General features: G+C 46.8%; 1 protein-coding gene across 32 annotated transcripts in view, besides 3 other annotated features; it reads right to left on the bottom strand.

Annotated features, from left to right (window-relative positions):
- The window catches only part of MYT1L (myelin transcription factor 1 like), a 542,163-nt gene that overhangs the window by 232,004 nt on the left and 285,771 nt on the right, over positions 1–24,388 (bottom strand). The gene's annotated exons all lie outside the window — the stretch shown is intronic.
- Positions 3,431–3,932: an enhancer, noted in NCBI's record as "H3K4me1 hESC enhancer chr2:2028319-2028820 (GRCh37/hg19 assembly coordinates)". NCBI's record gives its function as "activates a minimal SCP1, AML or CMV promoter by ChIP-STARR-seq in naive and primed H9 embryonic stem cells {active_cell/tissue: H9 hESC(naive and primed)}" and the evidence as "EXISTENCE:reporter gene assay evidence [ECO:0000049][PMID:30033119]".
- Positions 3,933–4,432: an enhancer, noted in NCBI's record as "H3K4me1 hESC enhancer chr2:2028821-2029320 (GRCh37/hg19 assembly coordinates)". NCBI's record gives its function as "activates a minimal SCP1, AML or CMV promoter by ChIP-STARR-seq in primed H9 embryonic stem cells {active_cell/tissue: H9 hESC(primed)}" and the evidence as "EXISTENCE:reporter gene assay evidence [ECO:0000049][PMID:30033119]".
- Positions 4,869–5,685: an enhancer, noted in NCBI's record as "H3K4me1 hESC enhancer chr2:2029757-2030573 (GRCh37/hg19 assembly coordinates)". NCBI's record gives its function as "activates a minimal SCP1, AML or CMV promoter by ChIP-STARR-seq in naive H9 embryonic stem cells {active_cell/tissue: H9 hESC(naive)}" and the evidence as "EXISTENCE:reporter gene assay evidence [ECO:0000049][PMID:30033119]".

Below are 24,388 nucleotides of genomic sequence, written 5' to 3' on the forward strand. Positions count from 1 at the left end.
GAGCTTAGGAGGGTGAAAGGCTTTTCTAAAGAAGTGATAATTGGGTTCCTACTGCCTGAGAAACCAGCCAAGAAAGGCCCAGACTGAGGACACAGCAGGTGCACAGGTACAGGAGAAAGGGATTCAGATTCAAGGAGTAAACAGGAGGCCTGGGATTTGCAGAGAGCAGGGGTGGAGTAAGGTGGGAGGTGGGCAGGGGAAGGTTGACATGGGAGGCTGATGCCCCAGACATGTCCAGGCTGATTTCTAGCAGTGGCAGGAGGCTTTTAAAGGGTTTATGTAGGGAGCAAATGACATAGCTTATGTTTAAACAGCCCTCTGGGGCCTAGTCCTTTCTGTTCTATCTGGAAAATAGGTGGTGAGGAGTGAGGGTCGATTGGAGAACATTTATGAGGACATGGGTCATATTTTCACTTATCTGGGGCCCTTCTGATCTTAAGAAACTTAGAGGACAAGGAAGATGACTTTTACTTGCATTCATTAAATGTGTAAGTTTACCAGCCGGGCGCGGTGGCCCACGCCTAAAATCCCTGCACTTTGCGAGGCCAAGGCAGGCTGATCACGAGGTCAGGAGATTGAGACCATCCTGGCTAACACGGTGAAACTCCGTCTCTACTAAAAATACAAAAAATTAGCCAGGCGTGGTGGTGGGTGCCTGTACTCCCAGCTACTCAGGAGGCTGAGGCAGGAGAATGGCGTGAACCCGGGTGGCGGAGCTTGCAGTGAGCCGAGATCGTGCCACTGCACTCCAGCCTGGGCAACAGAGCGAGACTCCATCTCAAAAAACAAAAAAAAAAGTGTAAGTTTACTGAGATGCCACTGTGACCAAGACATCATGCTTGCACAGCAGACGTCACTGACACAAGTGGCAGTTCCAAAATGTCCTGAGTGTAAGCCAGCACAAAAGGGGCTGAAAAATCTCAGGGTCGGGAGTCTGCAAGGACGACATCTTGTGTATGTCTGCTGCACTTCCCTCGGGCAAGTGGGTGCAGCACACTGTTCGTAAAAGGAATAACCTCAGAATGTTGGTTAAATATGGCCTTACTTCGCCATGGCAACCCCACAGGCACACATCTACTGAGGCTATGCAGGATTCCTTCCAAATTGGGAGGGATTTCTGCCAGGGTACAAGTGGATTCTTTCTCTCTCCTCACGGTTAGGAGCACATGTCCCAGAGAGCTCCGGTACCCACCTCGAAGTGGTCTGACAAGCTACAGTCCATCCTCTGTGCTGGTTAACATCTTCTCATGCAAATTTAAATGCCCTTATTTTATGGGACAGTGTTTTCCTTGGCAGGCTCAGAGTTCCACAGCATTAATTTTAGGTATTTTTTTTAAACAAAAGGATACACAAATTCTACCTTTAAATGATGATACAAGTATTGAGAGAGATTTCAACCTCTCCTGTTCCATCTATTAACCTACAGACCTTTTCCGGTCTGGAAGTATGCCAACAGATAACACCCTAAGTCAAAGGTCAAATGCTGCACTTGACCTCCAAGATGCCCGCTTGGGCCTCTTCCAAGTGTACTTTCCTTTCTTTCGTTCCTGCTCTAAAGCTTTTTAATACACTTCCATTCCTGCTCTGAAAAAAAAAAAAAGAAAAGTACACAATATGTGGGTGCACAATGTCAGTTCTTTGTCCGTATTTATCTTTCCAAAAACAATGATTCAACAGCCTGCAAATTGATATGGTCAACTCAGGCACATGTGATGGAAGGCGGGTCACCTGCCTACCTGCGACCAAATACTGGCGGAGGCGTTTCATCTTAAATAACTACTTTTCAGAACTGGCCACAGATACTCAGAGGCCAGCATGTCAAATGTCAGTCACATTCAGGACTCACCTACATGGCCCAGGAGAGGGTAAATTTTCTTCACCATCTAGGAAAGAAAGCATCTTTCATGATACTTGTTGGGTTAGCCTGTGATACTGACAAAGGTGTGCTGCCCACATCTTTGTCAATGAAACAGAGTAGATGTGAGTCAGGCTATTTTAAACTGCGCCCCAGGGAAAGACACTGTGAGGTCATCTTGATGGGAAAGAAAAAAGAGTAGAGGTGGAAGGGACATCAGGGTGGGGGCCTGAGTCACCTTTATGGCCAGTGTGGGCACTTTACCGAATCCTAGACACCAGCTGCCTCCCTCAGAGGAGTGTTGGGCTGGACTGCATAGACTCGTGCATGAACTGTTCATCTCAGCTGTGCACAGAATGTCCATTAGAGAAGGGGGCAGCCTGTTTCCCAGGAGCTGCCTGGATGTTGCCTGTGGATGGTCCTCTGGCTGGCCTGCGTGTGTGAAGAACTCGGCTGAGCTCCGCCCAAAATTGTGTGGGCAATCTCTCTCTCTCCACTTCAGGAGGCTGGCATAAGCCTACACCAACAGATTGGGTAGTGCCTAATATCCAGTGGGTGTGGACGGGAAGCTCCCAGCACGGGCTCCTGAAGGACCCCACAGAGGCAGAACTCGGAGCAGCTCCCCTGCCCTGGCGGCACAAGGCTTTTGCTGTTTTTTTTTTTTTCAAACAACATAGAGGACTGAATAGTTGGATGGGGAGCAACCTGGAAAGGCTGTCTAGCGAGTCTTCCTCTTCGACGAAGTGAATTCTTCTCTTTCTCAGGGACGCAGCCTTGGACCACGTGGCCCTCTGATACAGAAGAATGTTTGTCTGTGGGCATGAACTCTTTCAAGCATTAACGTTAAAATCAATGCAAAATGTGTTTTCTGGGGTGGGCTCTTCCTTTTGAGAGAACTATAATGCAGTGATAAGATTGAGCGGTGTTCACTGGATTAGGCACCTTTGAAATTACCCAATTTTAAAGCCCCTCAATTCAAACAAAAATTTAGGGCAGAATTACTTTGCCAGCTTGCTTTCTTTATATCTGGAAAACTTGGACTCTCTTCCGAGAAGATATTTTACGTTGATTTTTAAAATACTTCTCTCAAAACAAATGCCAATTTCAAATAATTCTGAAATTTTTTATCTTGACTATAATCTAAAAATTAACATATTTTATCTACCTTCTGCCACTACTCTTACTAAAATTAATTCTCAAAAGGCACCCATTCAAGATCCCTCTTGTAGGCGTCTTGGAATATATATACTACATTATTATTAGCTAGCGTCAGCCTGCAAGGTAATAGAACACCAGAACTTATTCTTACAATTACTATGTGTTGATTAGAAACAAAATTAATTAAAAAAACAAACAAAATAACACAGCACCCAAACCCGCCCAGTGCAGGTGCACACTCTGGTTCTGCCTTGCTCTTTCTGGCATTTGGTTGGCTTGGTCATTTCATTGCTCTTGAAATTCCCTCCCCTTGTGGCTGACAGAATTCACTTGATAATTTCCAAGCTGCTCTTTCTATTCCTTCCTCTGCCAAATTAAAATGTTTCCTAGATTCTGTTCTTGAGCCTCTACTTTCATCCTTGGCAACTTCATTCACTGTAGGAATTTAACTTCTACCTCTAATTAAACAACTCATAAAGCTTTATATCCAGGCCGGCTTTGTTGTTGCCATTGGTTTTTTTCCTACCAAAGCTTCTACTCCCAAATTTCCAGTGTCTGCCTACTTTCCCCACGCAGGCACCCAGTGACAGCTCATCCTAAGATCCTTCCATAGCCAGCCGCAGTCCACCAATTCTGACTTCCTCCTGTTGTCAATATCATCAAGGTGTTCTCAATCAGCTTCCTACAACCAGAAAATCACCTTTGAGTCTTCCCTCTGTCCTTTTCATTTTCAACCAACTGCAGGGCTTCTGCATCTTTTCAGCCTTAGCTCTGACTTAGCTCCCACCGCGTGGACGCGTTCCGCCTGTCCCACCACAGCTGCCCGTGCCCAGGCCTGACTGTCCCAGCCTGTACTATCTCACTGGGCTCCCGTGGGTCTGTTTTTATTGCCCCCACTGCATCTGAACCATTTGTACAGTGATTTTTTTCTTTTTTACTGTGGACATGTTCTGTGTTTTTAATTTTATAGGCAAACCCAATATAGATGGAAGTTCAGGGGCCCTGGATGGAGGGTAGGAGGCGTGGGGCCCTGGCTCCCTGGCATTGCTTCTTCCCTAGGTTGGCCACAGCACTGCCTCCAAGCCTTGGGCTTCACAGAGCAGTTGGAACTCACAGCAGCGTGCCCCGCCTCGGTTTGCTCTCCTCAAGCTCCCGGAGTGAGTCCCTGAACAAACAGTTACACATAGCCTCCTGGTCTGGGGATACCAGCTCCCTCTCTACTGTGATTCCCGTTTATCAGTCTACAGGGTCCTTGAATGTGAGGGCTGTGCTGTGTTTATCTTGTCTGGTATTTCACACCAAACAGCAGCAAATGATACTTGTTGAATCAAAGTCAATTTTAAAATTAGCATCTGTAAGAAACATACAGAGTGATTTTCCCATAAAAAGACAGCTAGGTTGGGAGATAAGTGGTGTGTGATATTCCCCCTCCACTGGAATAGTGTAGGGGAACTTCTGAGATCCTTTGAGAAAAGTAATCAGATTGTTTTAAGCTGGGACATCAATACGCCCAAGTCTTCCTGAGCACGTGTGGTGCACCCAGCTCCCTGGTGGACTCACCTGTGACAGTGTGACAAGGGACTCGTTCACCGAAACACAATGCAAGAACACAGGGACATTAGCATACTCATTTACATAAATTTACATATAACATTCCTGTCACCCCCAGCTCCCAAACCTGCACACTGAATGAATTTTTTAAAAAGGTAGTGTGACCTATTGCAATTATACTCAAACTCAATATTCAGAACAAGATACATGAAGCAAAAGCAAAATCTGAACTAATCATGTGCCTGATTGGGACAAAGGCAGAGCTTCAGCAAGAAATAGAAAACCAAACATCCAGTGCCAAGTTCTCCTCCTAATCGGTGCTTCAAAGTAGCAGGGCCAGCCCTGGCTGCCTGGTCCTGTTATTGTTCATTTAACAGACTTTCCCTCAGTACCACCATGTGCCATGCTCTAGTTAGGGGTCTAGGGCTTGAAGCTTTATTTAACAATTATAATAAAACTGTGGCCTAGGTGTTACTGTCCCCATTAAACACACCTCTTAAAACTTAAAAACACATTTTTACGGCTTCACCCTATGCCATATGACGTGGCCCCAGTCTGTCCCCTCCACTGTGTGACAAGGGTGTGCGGGGGACGTGGGTGAGAGGTTTGCTGGGGCCGGCCCATCTCTGCCCGCACCAGAGGAGACTGAGGAGAAGGGTTCAGAGACCGGGTGTCCCAAGGCCGTGCCCAGGAGGGAGACTGGAGGGTCTGGGTTGCGAGCTGTGGATCCTGGCAGCCCTGCAGGGATTCTAGCAGGGGTGGCCCGGGCCGAGGGAGGCCCAACTGTTCCGCAGACAGAAAGCTGTCTCTCAGCTAAACACACGCCAACAATAGCAGCCAACCAGCTAATTGCTCACCACCCACTACAAGCTCAGTGCGTTAGTAAGAAAGCGGCTTCTCAGGCCTCGCTGGCTTCCTAGGACAGGAAATGCCCGTGGTGGAGGTTGTTCTGCAGGTCAAGGTTCGCTGCAGGAGGGCGGGGTGCCCAGTGCGGCCTCTGCCTGCCTCCCCGAGGCCCGGGAGGTACAGGGAACCTCTCCGTCCAGGGCGGGGCCCGCTCCTCAGAGGACTCCTGAGTCAGCCACCCCAGGGTGCTTTCTGGTGGAATGTTCTTGAACACTGGCATAGCCTTGTGCGGGGCCCCTCAACACCAGGAGGGCGGGTCTTGAGAAAACCTGCCCCTCTCCTCGGGAGTGGAAGGCTCGCCTCTGTGGGGTTATCCTGGGGCCACGGGGTGCTTTTCTCTGAGTGTGGGGCCCCGTCACGACCAGCGGAGCCCACAGGACAAAGCTCAAGAGCCCCAAGTGACGCCCAGAGAAGGGCAGCGTCCAGGCGGGGGCACATCGGATCGCTCCACCTGGACCCCTCGCCACCTCCAGCAAAAGGGGAGAGGAAGAGAGATGAGCCGTGCACAGCTGCCTCAGTGTGAACCCCCCATCGCCGCTGCCGCCACAGACTGAGCCGCCCCTGAGAGAGGCAGGTGCAGCTGCCTCATCTGGGAGATCCGAATCCGGATCCGGATCTGGAGCTGGCCAGAAGTCAGGAGAGCTCCACCCCGGGAGGCAGAGCACCCTCCCGGCTGGTGAGTGCTTCCAGGCACCTCTCTGCCCAGCCCAGCAACAGCTGCACGTGGAGCACCCTACTCTGTGTTGTAGCCCACCACAGGCTTAAACTCAGGCAACAGCTGGGCCAGTCCATGTTCTGAACAAGATACCAAAGGTCTCTGAAAGGGAGATTCGGTTGGCGAAAGGCACAGACGCTGCCGGATGACCCCCGGCCATTCTTGGATTCATGGGGATGATGTACTGACCGGATTCTGGGAAATAAGCCAACGTGTAGAATAGCGTTGTCAAGATTACACAACAAAATTAGCTGTCAAATATGAATTGATTATTCTAATGTATCATAGAAATGCAAATTAAGAAATGACATCATGTACGAAAAGATGCAATATAATGACCAAAGAATACCCACTAAAAGGCTGGTTAGAGGGTATTTGGCAAAGCTAACAAAGGGTTTACATTCATTAACTTAGCGCTTCCATTACTGGGCGATACTGGGCCACCTGGGTGACATCTCTGAGTCTTACCTGCCTGAGTGATCAAGGGAGGAAGGTCAGACCAGCCTGGCTTGATGTGGCGTGGCCCAATTTAGAAAGGGTGTCAGTGGCCAAGGGCTCCTGCAGTGAAAGCTCATTATACATGGCAGCTAAGGTGATTTTTACTTTAGAGCTCAGGAGCCATAAGCAAATGTAAAACTGAAGAATGTCACTGTGTTATTATTGTTTCTGCTTGGATGCTTCCTCATATTCAATTTTGCTGTCTTGTAGAGGTGAGTTCTATCACATGTGGGGTCATAATGCTGAGTTACCTAGAACAATGCTTACCTGAATACTTTGCAATGCTTAGCCAATAAGCTTTTGACTCATGCTTTGCCCTGCTCCTTCAGGCAAGCACAGAGCAGATGCTGGAAGAATGAAGGGCATGGGCCCCTTGGTCTAGCATCTGGGTCTGGCACAGTGCTTGGTGCCAGCACCGATCAGCTTGGTCAGGGAGTGAGCACATGCTCGTAGCCCAAACCAGGCTCAGGCTCTGCAGGAGGAGCCTGGTGTGGAAAGAGCAGGAGGCTGTGGGATTGTGGGGTTCATGCCCAGGGACCTCTTACACTTATGCCTAAAGCAGTGTCAGGATTGAAACTTTGGGGGCAGAATTGAAGGGACTGAATAGTAGATCGACAGTCCTATCATTTTGAAGGTCAGATAGTGACAAGAGGGAGGCTAGGAATCTATGTAGTGGCAGAGTAGGAAAAGAAAATGAAGGTTCTGCAAGACACTGAAATGACAGATTTTGTCTGAGTTCTGCACTTGAAAGGAGAATTTTAGAGGAAATTAAAAAAAATGAAGTAATATTTTGTGTATGGTGACAAAAATTATCATCATGGTTCTGAAATATGCTCTTGTCAGGAGTATGGTATAAGATAAAGATCAGACTTAGTATTGGAGACATGGCCACAAACATTGATTTGTCAATAAAACCATCTTTCATTGATTCAATAGACTTTTCCTGGGAACCATCCTGTGTGCCAGGAACTAGGGACATCAGGACAAAGCACTTTATGTCTTCAAGGATCTTACCATCCAATGGGAGACGCAAAGGAAAAAACATTCATTAACTCGTTGTTAAGAGGCCCAGAAGGGGAACATCATAACCAGGAAAATGAGGGGGACACATTGGGGGGCTTCTGTGAGGAAGTGATGGTTAAAGGACACCTTTTTTGAGACAATCACTTGGTCTCTCTAAGCCTCGGTATCCGTACTATAAATTAGGTACTAGGATGAATGCTTTTTAAAATTCTTTTAAACTCAAGTATTACAGAACTTTTTAAAAAGCTTCAGTTTAGCATCTTGGTATTAACAACTCAGAATAAAGAATCTGACTAAATGTATCAAAAAGAGAAAGGTAATATTTTATTGAACTATAATTACACAAGGCAAATATTTGGGCTAAAGTGACTAGTGAATGACATTCGTGACTGTCTAACATATTCATGTCCATACACATGTGTATGCCTGTGTGTATTCATCCATTCGCATGCTGCTAATAAAGACATACCCAAGACTGGGTAATTATAAAGGAAAGAGGTTTAATGGACTCACAGTTCCACATGGCTGGGGAGGCCTCACAATCATGGCGGAAGATGAAGAAAGAGCAAAGTCACGTCTTACATGGCGGCAGGCAAGAGAGCTTGTGCAGGGGAACTCCCATTTATAAAACCATCAGATCTCATGAGAGTTATTCACTACCACAAGAACAGTATGGGGGAAACCACTCCCATGATTCAATTATCTCCACCTGGTCCCACCCTTGACACTTGCAGGTTGTTACAATTTAAGGTGAGACTTGGGTGGGGACACAGCAAAGCCGTATCGATGTGCATATGACAGATACAGACATCTGCACACACACACACAGTATAGCTTTCCACACATGAAATGACTTGGATTTGAAATTAGGTTTATGTACATACAATAATCCAGGTTGTATTTCACTGAAAATATATTCAATGTTACCTTCAAAATTACTAACTGAAAAGTCTGTATATAATTTAGAAAGTTATTGGCATTTTATCATTGTTTGCATATCATTCTATATGGACCAAAACCATATTTGTCAAAGTCAAAAAATAATAGCTAATATTTAGCCATTTTTATTTGCATATCTTATAATTTATATAACTTTTTTACCTGTAATGTAAGGGCTCCTGAGAATAATTTACCTTCTTATAGAGTTCCAGTTACAGCAACAACTGGCTAATGTACAATTTAGTGTATTTTAAAGTATGAGACCAGAGACCAAGGAAGGAGGCATGTCCTGTAGAGCCTGGTGATGGGCATGAGGAATTGTTTTTGTTTGTTTGTTTAGTTTGTTTGTTTTTTAAGATGGAGTCTTGCTCTGTCGCCCAGGCTGGAGTGCAATGGTGTGATCTCAGCTCACTGCAACCTGTGCCTCCTGGGTTCAAGTGATTCTCCTGCCTCAGCCTCCCGAGTAGCTGGGACTACAGGCGTATGCTACCACGCCTGGCTAATTTTTTGTATTTTTAATAGAGACGGGGTTTCAACATGTTAGCCGGGATGGTCTCGATCTCCTGACCTCATGATCCACCCGCCTCAGCCTCCCAAAGTGCTGGGATTACAGGCAGGAGTTTTAAATATAAGTGAAGTTTTAAATTTAGATTCCTGTTTTGTCTCTAAAGCATCTGATTCTTAACTATCATTCATTCGTTCATTTGTTATGTGTATACTCTTTTATTCTCTAAATAAAATTGAATGCCTATTATTTGCCAGCTATTGTAATGAGTGATTAAGATTTTTTAAAAATAAGAGAAAGCAGTTGACTTCATTATAATTTAAACATGTCAATTTTAGATACTTTATTTTTGGTTTTACTAGAAATGTATGTGTAAGCTGAATGTATATCCTTACAAATTATGAAAGAGTGACAAATGCAGTTTTCTTCAATAGTTTCCTGAGACCAAATTTGTTAATTTGGTAAAACCTGCCTGTAAGTACAATACAGGTGACAAGGAATTATGTCTCAGCCCACACTGATATGATGTGTAATCATTTTAGTTGTGCAGCCAGTGGTCCTATTTTGACTTCTAACTAGAATGACTGTAAAATTTGGTGCTCATATATACTCAGTCTAATTGTTTTTCACTTCTTAAAATTGATTCGGGTTTTAATAAAGTCCGTATTAAATTTTGTCTAAAGCATTAGTTTCTGGTTTCTCACATTGTGAGGACATACTTATTTTGCGTTTGTATTAAGCGTGTGCATGACAGCTTTCTGAAATTATGCACCCTTCATCACCAGCTCCAAAAACAGCATGTTTACTCTAATTTCAGCAAAACAACTCTTTAACTTCAGAAGTTAAAATTTATTTCTCTGCACATTTTAGAGATGTGGCATGTCAACATCACTGGGATTCAGGGCACCTTGGATGCTCAGAGCTGTCCAAAATCTTTCTGAATTCACAGTGGCTGTGATACGGAAATGAAGCCACAGGCAAGCTTGCATGAAAGAGGGCTGGGAGAGGTGCTCAGGATGGAGTGTCAGATAAGGTCTAGTTAACTGGAGAGATGAAGTGGGTTTTCCCATGGTCAAACAGCAAAGCTGCCAGAGCAGATTGTAGAAGGAGGGCCTTATACACACCCCTCCCAAGTGCCTCTCATCCTGTGGCCCAGAGCAGATTCTAGAAGGAGGGCCTTATACACACCCCTCGCCAGTGCCTCTCATCCTGTGGCCCAAAGCAGATTCTAGAAGGAGGGCCTTATACACACCCCTCCCAAGTGCCTCTCATCCTGTGGCCCAGAGCAGATTCTAGAAGGAGGGCCTTACACACACCCCTCGCCAGTGCCTCTCATCCTGTGGCCCAGAGCAGATTCTAGAAGGAGGGCCTTACACACACCCCTCACCAGTGCCTCTCATCCTGTGGCCCAGAGCAGATTCTAGAAGGAGGGCCTTATACACACCCCCTCACCAATGCCTCTCATCCTGTCGCCCAGAGCAGATTCGAGAAGGAGGGCCTTATACACACCCCTCGCCAGTGCCTCTCATCCTGTGGCCCAGAGCAGATTCTAGAAGGAGGGCCTTACACACACCCCTCGCCAGTGCCTCTCATCCTGTGACCGAGAGCAGATTCTAGAAGGAGGGCCTTATACACACACCCTCGCCAGTGCCTCTCATCCTGTGGCTCAGAGCAGATTCTAGAAGAAGGGCCTTATATACACCCCTCGCCAATGTCTCTCATCCTGTGGCCGAGAGCAGATTCTAGAACGAGGGCCTTATACACACCCCTCGCCAGTACCTCTCATCCTGTGGCCCAGAGCAGATTCTAGAAGGAGGGCCTTACACACACCCCTCGCCAGTGCCTCTCATCCTGTGGCCCAGAGCAGATTCTAGAAGGAGGGCCTTATACACACACCCGTTGCCAGTGCCTCTCATCCTGTGGCCCAGAGCAGATTCTAGAAGGAGGGCCTTACACACACCCTCGCCAGTGCCTCTCATCCTGTGGCCCAGAGCAGATTCTAGAAGGAGGGCCTTACACACATCCCTCCCCAGTGCCTCTCATCCTGTGGCCCAGAGCAGATTCTAGAAGGAGGGCCTTATACACACACCCGTCGCCAGTGCCTCTCATCCTGTGGCCCAGAGCAGATTCTAGAAGGAGGGCCTTACACACACCCTCGCCAGTGCCTCTCATCCTGTGGCCCAGAGCAGATTCTAGAAGGAGGGCCTTACACACACCCCTCCCCAGTGCCTCTCATCCTGTGGCCCAGAGAAGATTCTAGAAGGAGGGCCTTACACACATCCCTCCCCAGTGCCTCTCATCCTGCGGCCCAGAGAAGATTCTAGAAGGAGGGCCTTACACACACCCCTCGCAAGTGCCTCTCATCCTGTGGCCCAGAGCAGATTCTAGAAGGAGGGCCTTACACACACCCCTCGCAAGTGCCTCTCATCCTGTGGCCCAGAGCAGATTCTAGAAGGAGGGCCTTATACACACACCCGTCGCCAGTGCCTCTCATCCTGTGGCCCAGAGCAGATTCTAGAAGGAGGGCCTTACACACACCCTCGCCAGTGCCTCTCATCCTGTGGCCCAGAGCAGATTCTAGAAGGAGGGCCTTATACAACCCTCGCCCATGTCTCTCATCCTGTGACCCAGAGCAGATTCTAGAAGGAGGGCCTTATACACACCCCTCGCCAGTGCCTCTCACCCTGTGGCCCAGAGCAGATTCTAGAAGGAGTGCCTTATACACACCCCCTCGCCAGTGCCTCTCATCTTGTGGCCCAGAGCAGATTCTAGAAGGAGGGCCTTACACACACCCCTCGCCAGTGCCTCTCATCCTGTGGCCCAGAGCAGATTCTAGAAGGAGGGCCTTACACACACCCCACACCCCTCGCCCGTGCCTCTCACCCTGTGGCCCAGAGCAGATTCTAGAAGGAGGGCCTTACACACACCCCTTGCCAGTGCCTCTCATCCTGTCGCCCAGAGCAGATTCTAGATGGAGGGCCTTACACACACCCCTCGCCAGTGCCTCTCATCCTGTGGCCCAGAGCAGATTCTAGAAGGAGGGCCTTACACACACCCTCGCCAGTGCCTCTCATCCTGTGGCCCAGAGCAGATTCCAGAAGGAGGGCCTTACACATACCCCTCGCCAGTGCCTCTCATCCTGTGGCCCAGAGCAGATTCGAGAAGGAGGGCCTTATACACACCGCTCGCCAGTGCCTCTCATCCTATGGCAACGAGGCAGAACTCAGGATGGGACCTGGGGGCACGCCAGGTTAGTCTACTTACAATGCTACTCCCTGAAAAGAACTTTGGCTTTAAGAGGAAAATCATTCTGCAATATGTGAAGGTGAAATCAGGAACAAACATTAAAAAAAAAAAATCTGGGTTTCACCTTGCTCACGAAATTTGATTTGAGGTCATTACATTCTAATAGAGGTGGGTGGAGTAGGGGAATCTATTAAATCAACTCTCCAGGGACGGTGATTGGCAATCCCCAGCTGTTTTGTCCCCATTCAGACATGTTTGAAGGACATGGTGCCTGGAGCAGCCCCAACGGCCCCTGGGGACAGGATGGCACTGTGCCTTGGCTGTGCCCTTGTCAGGAGCTTCTGTGGTGGGGCTGCGATGCCACATGCTTTCCCACATCCCAGGTGCATTTCACTCTAGAGTCAAGTCATGGTAATGAGAAGGGGTGCATTACAGAGAGGGTCAGCTCAATTCCGACAAATAAATGCACTTGAATTTCCAGAACCTAAGAAATGAAAACATGCCAGGGTGGGAGTTAGGGGCCTGGGTTCTCTCCAGACTCCAGACTAAGTAGCTTCGTTACTGTACACAGGTCACTTCATTTTTCTCATTAAATCCCTATTGATTAAGAAGCTGGTTAGTAAGTCGTAGGGACATTGAAGGGAAAGGAGCTAAGCAGAAAACGTCGGTATCGACACAATTCAGGCATATCCTCAAAGTTATGTCCAGCCGACTCGGCATCTCTATGAACACCCACAACTTCATGCGGGTGCAGAAGAGAGCTCCTAACTTCTCCCCATAATCTCCACCCTCCCAATGCGGGTGCAGAAGAGAGCTCCTAACTTCTCCCCAACAATCTCCACCCTCCAATGCGGGTGCAGAAGAGAGCTCCTAACTTCTCCCCAACAATCTCCACCCTCCAATGCGGGTGCAGAAGAGAGCTCCTAACTTCTCCCCAACAATCTCCACCCTCCAATGCGGGTGCAGAAGAGAGCTCCTAACTTCTCCCCAACAATCTCCACCCTCCAATGCGGGTGCAGAAGAGAGCTCCTAACTTCTCCCCACAATCTCCACCCTCCAATGCGGGTGCAGAAGAGAGCTCCTAACTTCTCCCCACAATCTCCACCCTCCAATGCGGGTGCAGAAGAGAGCTCCTAACTTCTCCCCAACAATCTCCACCCTCCAATGCGGGTGCAGAAGAGAGCTCCTAACTTCTCCCCACAATCTCCACCCTCCAATGCGGGTGCAGAAGAGAGCTCCTAACTTCTCCCCACAATCTCCACCCTCCAATGCGGGTGCAGAAGAGAGCTCCTAACTTCTCCCCACAATCTCCACCCTCCAATGCGGGTGCAGAAGAGAGCTCCTAACTTCTCCCCAACAATCTCCACCCTCCAATGCGGGTGCAGAAGAGAGCTCCTAACTTCTCCCCACAATCTCCACCCTCCAATGCGGGTGCAGAAGAGAGCTCCTAACTTCTCCCCAACAATCTCCACCCTCCAATGCGGGTGCAGAAGAGAGCTCCTAACTTCTCCCCACAATCTCCACCCTCCAATGCGGGTGCAGAAGAGAGCTCCTAACTTCTCCCCAACAATCTCCACCCTCCAATGCGGGTGCAGAAGAGAGCTCCTAACTTCTCCCCAACAATCTCCACCCTCCAATGCGGGTGCAGAAGAGAGCTCCTAACTTCTCCCCAACCATCTCCACCCTCCAATGCGGGTGCAGAAGAGAGCTCCTAACTTCTCCCCAACCATCTCCACCCTCCAATGCGGGTGCAGAAGAGAGCTCCTAACTTCTCCCCACAATCTCCACCCTCCAATGCGGGTGCAGAAGAGAGCTCCTAACTTCTCCCCAACAATCTCCACCCTCCAATGCGGGTGCAGAAGAGAGCTCCTAACTTCTCCCCAACAATCTCCACCCTCCAATGTGGGTGCAGAAGAGAGCTCCTAACTTCTCCCCAACAATCTCCACCCTCCAATGCGGGTGCAGAAGAGAGCTCCTAACTTCTCCCCAACAATCTCCACCCTCCAATGCGGGTGCAGAAGAGAGCTCCTAACTTCTCCCCAACAATCTCCACCCTCCAATGCGGGTGCAGAAGAGAGCTCCTAACTTCTCCCCAACAATCTCCACCCTCCAATGCGGGTGCAGAAGAGAGCTCCTAACTTCTCCCCAACAATCTCCACCCTCCAATGCGGGTGCAGAAGAGAGCTCCTAACTTCTCCCCACAATCTCCCCCCTCCAATGTGGGTGCAGAAGAGAGCTCCTAACTTCTCCCCAACAATCTCCACCCTCCAATGCGGGTGCAGAAGAGAGCTCCTAACTTCTCCCCACAATCTCCACCCTCCAATGCGGGTGCAGAAGAGAGCTCCTAACTTCTCCCCAACAATCTCCACCCTCCAATGCGGGTGCAGAAGAGAGCTCCTAACTTCTCCCCAACAATCTCCACCCTCCAATGCGGGTGCAGAAGAGAGCTCCTAACTTCTCCCCAACAATCTCCATCCTCCAATGCGGGTGCAGAAGAGAGCTCCTAACTTCTCCCCAACAATCTCCACCCTCCAATGCGGGTGCAGAAGAGAGCTCCTAACTTCTCCCCACAATCTCCACCCTCCAATGCGGGTGCAGAAGAGAGCTCCTAACTTCTCCCCAACAATCTCCACCCTCCAATGCGGGTGCAGAAGAGAGCTCCTAACTTCTCCCCAACAATCTCCACCCTCCAATGCGGGTGCAGAAGAGAGCTCCTAACTTCTCCCCACAATCTCCACCCTCCAATGCGGGTGCAGAAGAGAGCTCCTAACTTCTCCCCAACAATCTCCACCCTCCAATGCGGGTGCAGAAGAGAGCTCCTAACTTCTCCCCAACAATCTCCACCCTCCAATGCGGGTGCAGAAGAGAGCTCCTAACTTCTCCCCACAATCTCCACCCTCCAATGCGGGTGCAGAAGAGAGCTCCTAACTTCTCCCCACAATCTCCACCCTCCAATGCGGGTGCAGAAGAGAGCTCGTAACTTCTCCCCACAATCTCCACTCTCTGATGTCTTCTTTTCCAGGCAATAGAATCCCATCCACACAGCTCCTCATGGCAGAAACTCGGCAGCCACGCTTCAGTCTTCCTTCCTCTCAGTCCCCCATATCACTGAGTCTTTATGATTTTATCTTCAAAACATATCTTGAATTCTTTTTTGTTGATCAATGCAATGATCATAGTCTGAGCTACATCATCGCTCACCTGACTAATGCAGCTGCTTTCTAATTGGTTTCTCCACTGCCATTCCAGCACCTTGGCATTCAAATCTCCAATCTGTTTAAGCATCAAACTTAAGACATAAACATGTCCCTGGCAGCCTTTTGTTTTGCAGTCACCAGTAGCTTCCACCACACTTCAATTTAAGACTCATTGTGCCTGTCACCAGGCCCTGCAGGACATGGCTCCTTCCTTGGTCTCTGGTCTCATTTTGTTCCCTGATGCCAGCCAGTGAGTGATGCAACAACAGAGGCATCCCTTGGTTCTCCCAATACACCTGGCTCAGCAGTGTCCGAGGGTCCTTCCTGTTCCCTCTGCCTGAAATAGTCCCCCCGCTTAGGGCTGACTCCTTTACTTTAAGCCTCAGCCTAGCTGTGGTTTTCCTTGGAAAAGCAGTTCCAAATCACTCCACTTAGACTAAATTTGCCATCTCGTTTGTTCCTCACCACACTGTTTGCTGCCTGCACGATATTCTTATTACAACATGCAATTGTTTTATGTGTCTGTCTGTTGGTTTCTGCCAACCTTTCTAAGTTCTACGGTAACTGGGAAAGTGCCCACGTTATTTCCCATTGAATCTCTATCACCCAGCACAGAGCATGGCTGAGACGCCCTTTGGGGTATTGCTGTTGCTAATGAGACTTGAAATCATTTATTTCTCCAGTTATGATGGTGGTTCTCTTGTCCAGGAAAACAAGTAATCAGATTCAGTTGATTTTTTTTTTTTTTTTAAACTGTAGCTTTGGGCCAGGGACGGCGGCTCATGCCTGTAATCCCAGCACCTTGGGAAGCCAAGGTGGCCAGATCATATGAAGTCAGGAGTTTAAGACCAGCCTGGCCAACATGGCGAAACCCCATCTCTACTAAAAATACAAAAACTAGCTGGTCATGGTGGTGCATGCCTGTAATCTCAGCTACTTGGGAGGCTGAGTCAGGAGAATCACTTGAGCCCGGGAGGTGGAGGTTGCAGTGAGCCAAGATTGTGCCACTTGCACTCCAGCCTGGGAGACAGAGCCAGACTCCGTCTCAAAAACAAAACAAAACAAAACAAAACCCCCCCAAAAAAACAAAAAAACAAAAAAAAAACCCCCTACACACTTCAAACTATATATTCAAAACTACAGTTTTTCAAAATATACAGTTTTCAAAACTATACATTCAAAACTATAGTTTTGAATCCTCAAATCACTGTGTAACCTCCCCTAACTCCCAGCACCGACTCTGCACAGCCTGGATGAACACTTGTGTTGTGTCCATGTCTTGCTTTTCTTACTAGGTTATAAACTCTTTGAGAGGAGGAGCTATGTCTTGGTGAACTTTGCATTCCATGCAGACGTAGCATGGGTTCATTTGGACAGAAACCTGAGCAATAGGACCGGGACTACAATACGTGCTCGCTGAATTAAACGGCATTATTTTATGATGTGTGCCTCTCACGGGACTATTAGAATGGCCTGCACTGTTTAAGATTGACTTTGTTAGAAATCATGCCCCTTTTTATCACTATTATTTTATTATAACTGGATTCCATAGCTAGAGTTTGGGGTTGTCTTTTAAATCCAACATTATACAATTTTAAGTGTGTCTTTGGTTGAGTAGAATCTCACCCTGTTCTCAGGTGACCCCATTATCTTCTCCCCACATCAGTGAATGACACCATCAGATCTAACATCAAGCCAGGTGCTTGGATTCCCCTGACTTCTCCTTCCTGCCATCACCACCCTCCTTCAACCATTACTCAATGGTTGGCCAGCGCTGCCTCCCTGGCGTCTCTCCACTGGCCCAGTTCGGCTCATCTTGTCTGGACGCCATGTTTATTTGTCAATATTTCTGTAGCATATCCTAGTTGCTGTTCCTGCCACCAAATATCTCCCCTTCAAATCGATTTTTTATGTGTAGTCATCAGTCAGAAGTAATGTGACGTTGCTTGTTTGCTTAGAATTTTTTTTTTAGTGGGTTCCAGTACACTCTGGAACCCAATCCGAACTCCCTGGCATGTGGAAAGGTCACAGGTGGTGAGGCCCTGGTTGATGTGTCCAGCTGTCCCTCACACACCCTCTTCCCTGCTGGACATCAGCCATCCTGAACCCACACCCCAGCTCCCCATATGTGCAGCTCCCTCACCCTTCTCTGAACTCAGCCCTTCTTATGTTCAGGCATCACTCTTTCCAGGGCCTCCCCTAGGGTCTGGTCCCTCCTCCTCGGTGTTCGTGGCTCCTTTCGCCACAGCCCTGGCACACTGGGTTGTGACTGTTTAGCCACTGACCACCCTCTCTGCCGATGAGGCACTGTCACCTCTAGCTCCTTGTGTTATGTGGCTAATTTCCCGGTACGTGGAACAGCACTGGCACATGGAAGGCAGTCAGCAAGCACCGGGGGAATGAACAGAATCTCACGGAGCGCATTTTCCCCAATATTGATAAGGAATAATCATGGGGACATTATGGTTCACAACACTCTCTCACATGTATTGTGGTATTTGACCCTCACAATCTCACAATGACTATTTTATAAACATTCTACCTATGTCTAGGCATGGTGACTGGCACCTGTAGTCTCAGCTACTCAGGAGGCCCTGGTGGGAGGATCGCTTGGGCCCAGAAATTTGAGGCTACAGTGCGCTATGATTGCACCACTGCACTCCAGCCAGGGCAACAGAATGAGACCCACTTTCAAAAAAAAAAAAATCTACATATGACCTTGATGTATGTAGTCTATGGACAAATCTTCAGTTCAATAAATTAGTAAATTAGTCAGAACCTCCGTTTCCTGACTGTTAGGGAAGTTTACCATTTGCAGGAATGTTCAAAGGTGAATTTATGAAGGTGAAAAGGTGTGAATTGCTCAGGAAAAACATGATAGACGATAAAGAATGGATATGACTTTGAACGTCACAGGTTCTCCACCCATCAACAAAATCAAAGATAGACAACTTTAACAGAAGACTGGTGATGGGTTTTGATGAGGAATAGGATGAGTTCATTTGGGCATAGAAGTTGAGCTCACACAGGCATGCCTGCATCAGCCCGCTCATGCTTCCTCCATTTAAAATTTACTCAGCGGAGTGTGACTAGGGACATGACACTTGGGAAGGAGCCAGGAAGACTCTTCCACGTGGAATGGCTGCAGGTATAAGTGTGTGAGATGGATCAAACCAGGAGACCCTTATTCATGCCTGGCTGCAAGAAGCGAGGTGGCTAAGGGAACACAGACATGACAAACAGGCAGGGACAACACGTGATAGAGTCATAGAAAGGGCATGCCTACAGGTGTATGCGTGAGGGCCTGCGAAAGGGAAATGAAGCTAGGAATGGACTCTTGCACAACATCCCCTCAGCATTTAGGAATCCATCTTAATATGTGCTGATCACAGCTGGCGATATGTGTCAGGGCTACTATTTCAGTCTCATTTCATTTGTCCTGGTGTTCTGGTTTAATAATCCTCCTAGGGCTGTATATTTGGAAACTAGTGATGTGTCCTCAGCACTTGACACTGTGCTGAGCACACGTGTACTCTGGATTCTTGATAAGTGACTGAATTTCTACGTGTGCCCAATACATTCTTGTACATGCAATGTACATATCCAGCCTGTCCTTATGACAAGTTTCCTTGGCTACAGGATGGAAAGTTTGGAACTAGGGAGGGACAGAAATCATCCATGCAGATTAATCTTTAAAACTCGATTCTGAGAATGTCTGCTCTGTGGAGTCAGTGTGAGGCTCTGGTGCAGGCGACCCCCTGACCAAACCCAGGGTGTCCCCGTTCCAGAAGTTCCCTCGTAGAGCAATGTGTATTTATCATATGCAGCTGGAAATTACTTTTCAGGCAGGAAAATTAATTATAAGTAAATTTGTTATCCACATTTTTAAGTTCTGGATGGAAATTGAAATATGCCCTTATAATTAGACACTTGGCCACTCTTCAGGGAAAATTACGAACATGTGATATTTTGGAAAAAGCATCAATATTTAATTTTTTGGTCAATTTCTGAAGAATGGATCATTGTTGGGGGCTGGTCATTTTGGGGGTAATTATTTAAAAGTTTGAAGTAAAAGTAGTTTTATTAAGTGTATTTTTTAAAATTTCATTTATTATTATATCAATTTGAGGTTAAAAAACTATAATTAACTGGTTTCTACTTTTCTACTTGCATTTGTTGAAATTGCTAATTCTGACACCATCTCCATAGTAACCAATGTGCTTAGAAAGCAGAAAAATAGGAACACTCAAATAAGGCAAAAAGAGAAACAGGACAACTCATGGTGAAAAATAATTTCTTTTATTACACTGCCTTTTCTGGAAAGATACATTTGTTTATAAAAATGTGTTTACGTAAAATTGCAAACTACCTGACATTTTATCCAGAAAAATGTTACTTAGCAGATAAATATAAAAATATATTACTGGTGCATTAATAATTTTGCTTGAGGTAACTTGAACTTTTGAATTAAGTTACAGCTTTGGGGAAAGGTGGAAGTTAAATTATATGGCATAATTGTACTATTAATGAAAGCTGATGAAGATTGTGAAATCGCCACATTTGAGTCTTGTCAAGGTCAATTGCAAATCCAACATGAAGTGTTTTACTTGAAGGAAATTGCCTTCTTTCCCTTGAAAAAGTTCACCTTCTAGATGGGAAGCTACTGGGGGAGAGAGAAGTTGGAACCCTGCTGGGTCTTGGTCTACTCAGAGTAGCCGCCCAAGAGCTGCTCAGTGCTTTGCAAGCTGAATTGGAATTAATTGCAGATTGGGTCATGCTATATTTACTTTTCGTTTTACAAAGATATTCTTTGTCTCTTATCAAATGACCAAACATCAGAAAAATTTTCTGTTCCAGCTCCTCATGCTTCTGGGGCAGAGAGTGTTTGGAGGTATCTCCCTCCCTGCAGAAGGAGCCCGTCCCCCATGGCCGGCCCCAGGAGGACCTTTGCCTCTGCTTGCTCACCGGAGGCAAATTTCTCTGGTTTCATTATGGATTTTCCGGAAAGAAGGGAAGGGCCTGGTACCTCTATCTTGCAGCTTAAGCAGATGGTTTTAAAGTCAGACATCTGCAGCTGTATCTAGCCAAAATCTTTAATAACAACCATCTTCCTACTTTAACCATCATATACAGAACCTTTGAACTCAAAGATTCTCTGTAGAAAAGTTTCTTCCTTCCAGTGAGATTGTACTACAAATCTAAGTCCCATAAAGAAATAGTTTTGTGGAGCATCTCTCCACACCCCTAGCTCTTTTACCAAAAAAATCATCTTTAAGCTAATCTTAGAAGTAGAGTTTTGTTTTCAAGACGGTAGATAGCACAGAGTGTCTCCTGCTTCTTGTAAGTCTGTTTAAAGCCAGAGACATTCAGTGGCAAGGGAAGGGCACCCTCTCGAGGGGCTGGGCAGCTCAAAGGCAGCCCCGCAATCCTGAGGATGAACCCCAGATGCTCTAAGATGGACTCTGTCTCCAGATGATTCTGCCCATCTGTAGGCTGATACGAATCTTCTGGGCAAGTTTAAGGCAGGTGAGACTAAGCTATCACATTTGGCAGGTTATGTGGATTAAATGCATTTTCAACTATGAGATTTTTTACTTCTGCTGGGTTTGTTAGGGAGTTGTCCCACCATAAATTGAAGAGCATCTGTCTTGCAACTTTGAGTGGATCTCTGAAGAACCCTGACAAATGCAAACAATTTCAAATAAGCCTTGTGATACGGAGCATATTTATTAATCCTAAGCAATTATATTATTTCCATGCTCAAAGTCGCAATGCTATGTGTATTAAATTCAGTCACACTAATTTACTTATTTTCTAGAAACCTTGTTCTAATATATTACCTTCAATTAATAGTAAATTACAATGGGAATGCCATGAAATTTCTTGTTATGTTGTTATCAGGTCTCACCATTGGCAGAAATTTAAAAGGGCCTCAGAACCACACAAAGGCCCTGTCCCTGCACCAATGGTCCCGGCCTCCCTGTCACCCACCCTGAGGTTGGAGCCACTATGTGGTCTTTGCTCTGCTCTATCTGTTCCCAAAGCAAGGCATCTGCCCTTCGTCTCTAAGCCTCAAACGCCCGGCATGCATCCAGCTCTCACCACACCTGTCCTCATTCTTGATGTCATGACAGCAGGCGATAGCCTCCCAGGCCCATGTTCTCTCCCCTCTGCCCTTCCCCCCTGCTCTTCCCTGCAGGCAGGGTCTTCCCAACACTGGCTCCGGCAGCCCTCACCTGGTGCCAGCAGCACTGCACCGGGGGTGGCACGTGTGCTCTTGGACTCTGGACCAGTCTTCCTCTGTTTCCCTAAAACTTGTCAGCTGTGAAGCTCAGTTCATCTAAGACTCAAAGCGACACCCTGATGTGGCCCCAAGCCCGGGGACCTCACCCACGTTCTTTGAGGGTTTCAGCCCCTGGTTCACAGCTATCATGTCCAAAATCACTCTGCAAAGATTCCTGATGGCTTCTATGCCCTGTGGATGATTCCTCCAAAATTGAGGACTCTTGAGCCCTCAATCCCTGACCCCTGCCTCGGCCACCTAGTCCCTTGTATTAAATGTAGTCACACAATTCATTTATTTTCCAGAAACCTTGTTCTAGTATATTACCTTCGATTAACAGTAAATTACAATGGGAATGCCATGAAATTTCTTGTTATGTTGTTATCAGTTCTCACCAATGGCAGAAATTAAAAGGGGCCTCAGAACCACACAAAGTCATTGTACATTGCAGCCACACCCTACAATGTGTTTGTTAACTTAATTACATTATTCCAAGTTCATAAACGCGGTGCTTTCTCCCCTGGGACAGTCCCGGCCACAACTGCCTCCAGTTCCCCTTCCATTCTTTCCTGGACACTCCTGCAAGACATCTTGAAAGAGCTGTGCCCACTGTCTGTGTGGCCTCCTCCCCCAATGGGTCCATGTCTTACTCATGGGTGACTGGCTCCCTTCACCCCCTTCCTTGCCCTGAGCTCAGGGGTGGCATCTTTATTTTGCTCCCTCCAGTGCTGCCCACATCAGGAGCAGGCCTGCTACCCTGGAGGAACCCAGGAATATCTGTTGAATGAGTGAATGAATGCATGAATATGGTACATAAAAACTTCTCAAATTGTTCATACCATGACTAAAATAAATATTAATTTACAAATAATCTCTATTAAACATAAGGCAAAATTTTGACTGATGGAGAATTTGATGGATTAGAGAGAAGACACGATTTTTATCATTTTGGCTGACAGAGATGAATTCAATCAAACAGACATTTGTTTTTTGAAAAAAAATGAGTAAGGAGAGAGTTCAAAAGGTACTTTTCTTTCATTTTTAATTTAACTGATTAAAGTATTAGTTTTCTGGGTGAATGTTTTACAGTGGTTGTGTTATTATTTCTCTTTTCCTATTAATGTACATACATGTTCTGTTAACCTGTCTTGGCTTACTCAGATACAGGTCCCTGTGCACTCCCATGTTAGCCATACACAAATAGATATATACAATGGCAAGACAGTACCTACTGTTCATACTTGTCTATAAATCATTGCACAATTTTAGTTACAATTAAAGTCTTTCTGTCACGATACACCACACTCATCACTCTCAGTCACAGCTAACTATATCTGAAGTTATCAAGATAAACTTTTATCAGCAGTTACATAAGCGTAAAGTTGCAAATGCAGATATGGTGTGCCCATAGAGTATCAAATTCCTGCACCAACACTCCCTGCATCCCAGCAACAGACACCCAGAAGTTCTGATCGTGGTACAATGGGACAAGAAAATGACATGCATTCGAACCACAGCACAAAACTCTGCAACGGGCTTTTGAAAATGCTAGAGTCTCTCCTCTTAGATGCAGCCTGAGACAAAGCCTTCTTAGAATCTTAGACGTCTTCTTTGAAATGACTCTAGGTCTTTCTAAATATTTGCGTTGATAGTATAAACGGACCCATGATTAACCATCTTGGGGAGAGATGGTGATTGGGCGATGGGGGCCATGGCTAGCCTTCTTCCCCCAAAACCCAACCCTGGTTTCGTATACAGGCCAGCACTTTAAAAGCGATTGGTGTCTGTAGTCACTTTAAAAATAATTCAGCTCACAACAAGGACTCCGTGTTCCCGATGCCTCAACCCCTACCTCTATTTTGGGATGCAAGCCCTGTTATCACTGAACAGAATGACATTCACAGCAGGTACAACTGACACATGGAAATTTGTTGGATCAGTTGCACTAATTGGATATCTGTGCTTGCAAGGATGATGGCACAAGTAGGAGGTGTTTAAACATGTGAGTTCAGAACCCTGTTTATGGTCCATTTCCATGTAAATGAGGAGCAATGGCAGTTTAAGTGCAAGGTACCTGATAATAGACCAAGGGCAGCCCCCACACTGAAGGAATGAAGGCTTGAACAGAAAGTCTATGAGGAATAAAAGAAAACTGTGTTTTTCTCACCTTCCTGCATGTAAGATTTATGCAAGAAACTCCCATTAGCACTAATGAGAGTTATGCATGTAAATCTCCCATGAAATGACAAGGATATGAGCCTCATCCATCACTGTGCAGATATCACAGTTTCTGGGGCAGGCTTCTTGCAGGCAGACTGCTGCACTGCGATTGATTTTGCCTGCCCTTCCTTAAGGTGCTGAAACAGCAAGCCTCCTGCAGCAGGCCTGGTGGGAGAGGCTCTGGGAGGGGTGTCCCTGCAGAGCCATGCAGGGGCCAAAACTCCTGTCTGCAAGTGCTTTGAATAATTCATAGAGCATCATCAAAACCACCCACCTGCTCATGAAACTGTAT

Source organism: Homo sapiens, chromosome 2 (assembly GCF_000001405.40).
Source record: "Homo sapiens chromosome 2, GRCh38.p14 Primary Assembly".
In the NCBI taxonomy this organism is placed as follows: Eukaryota; Metazoa; Chordata; class Mammalia; order Primates; family Hominidae; genus Homo; species Homo sapiens.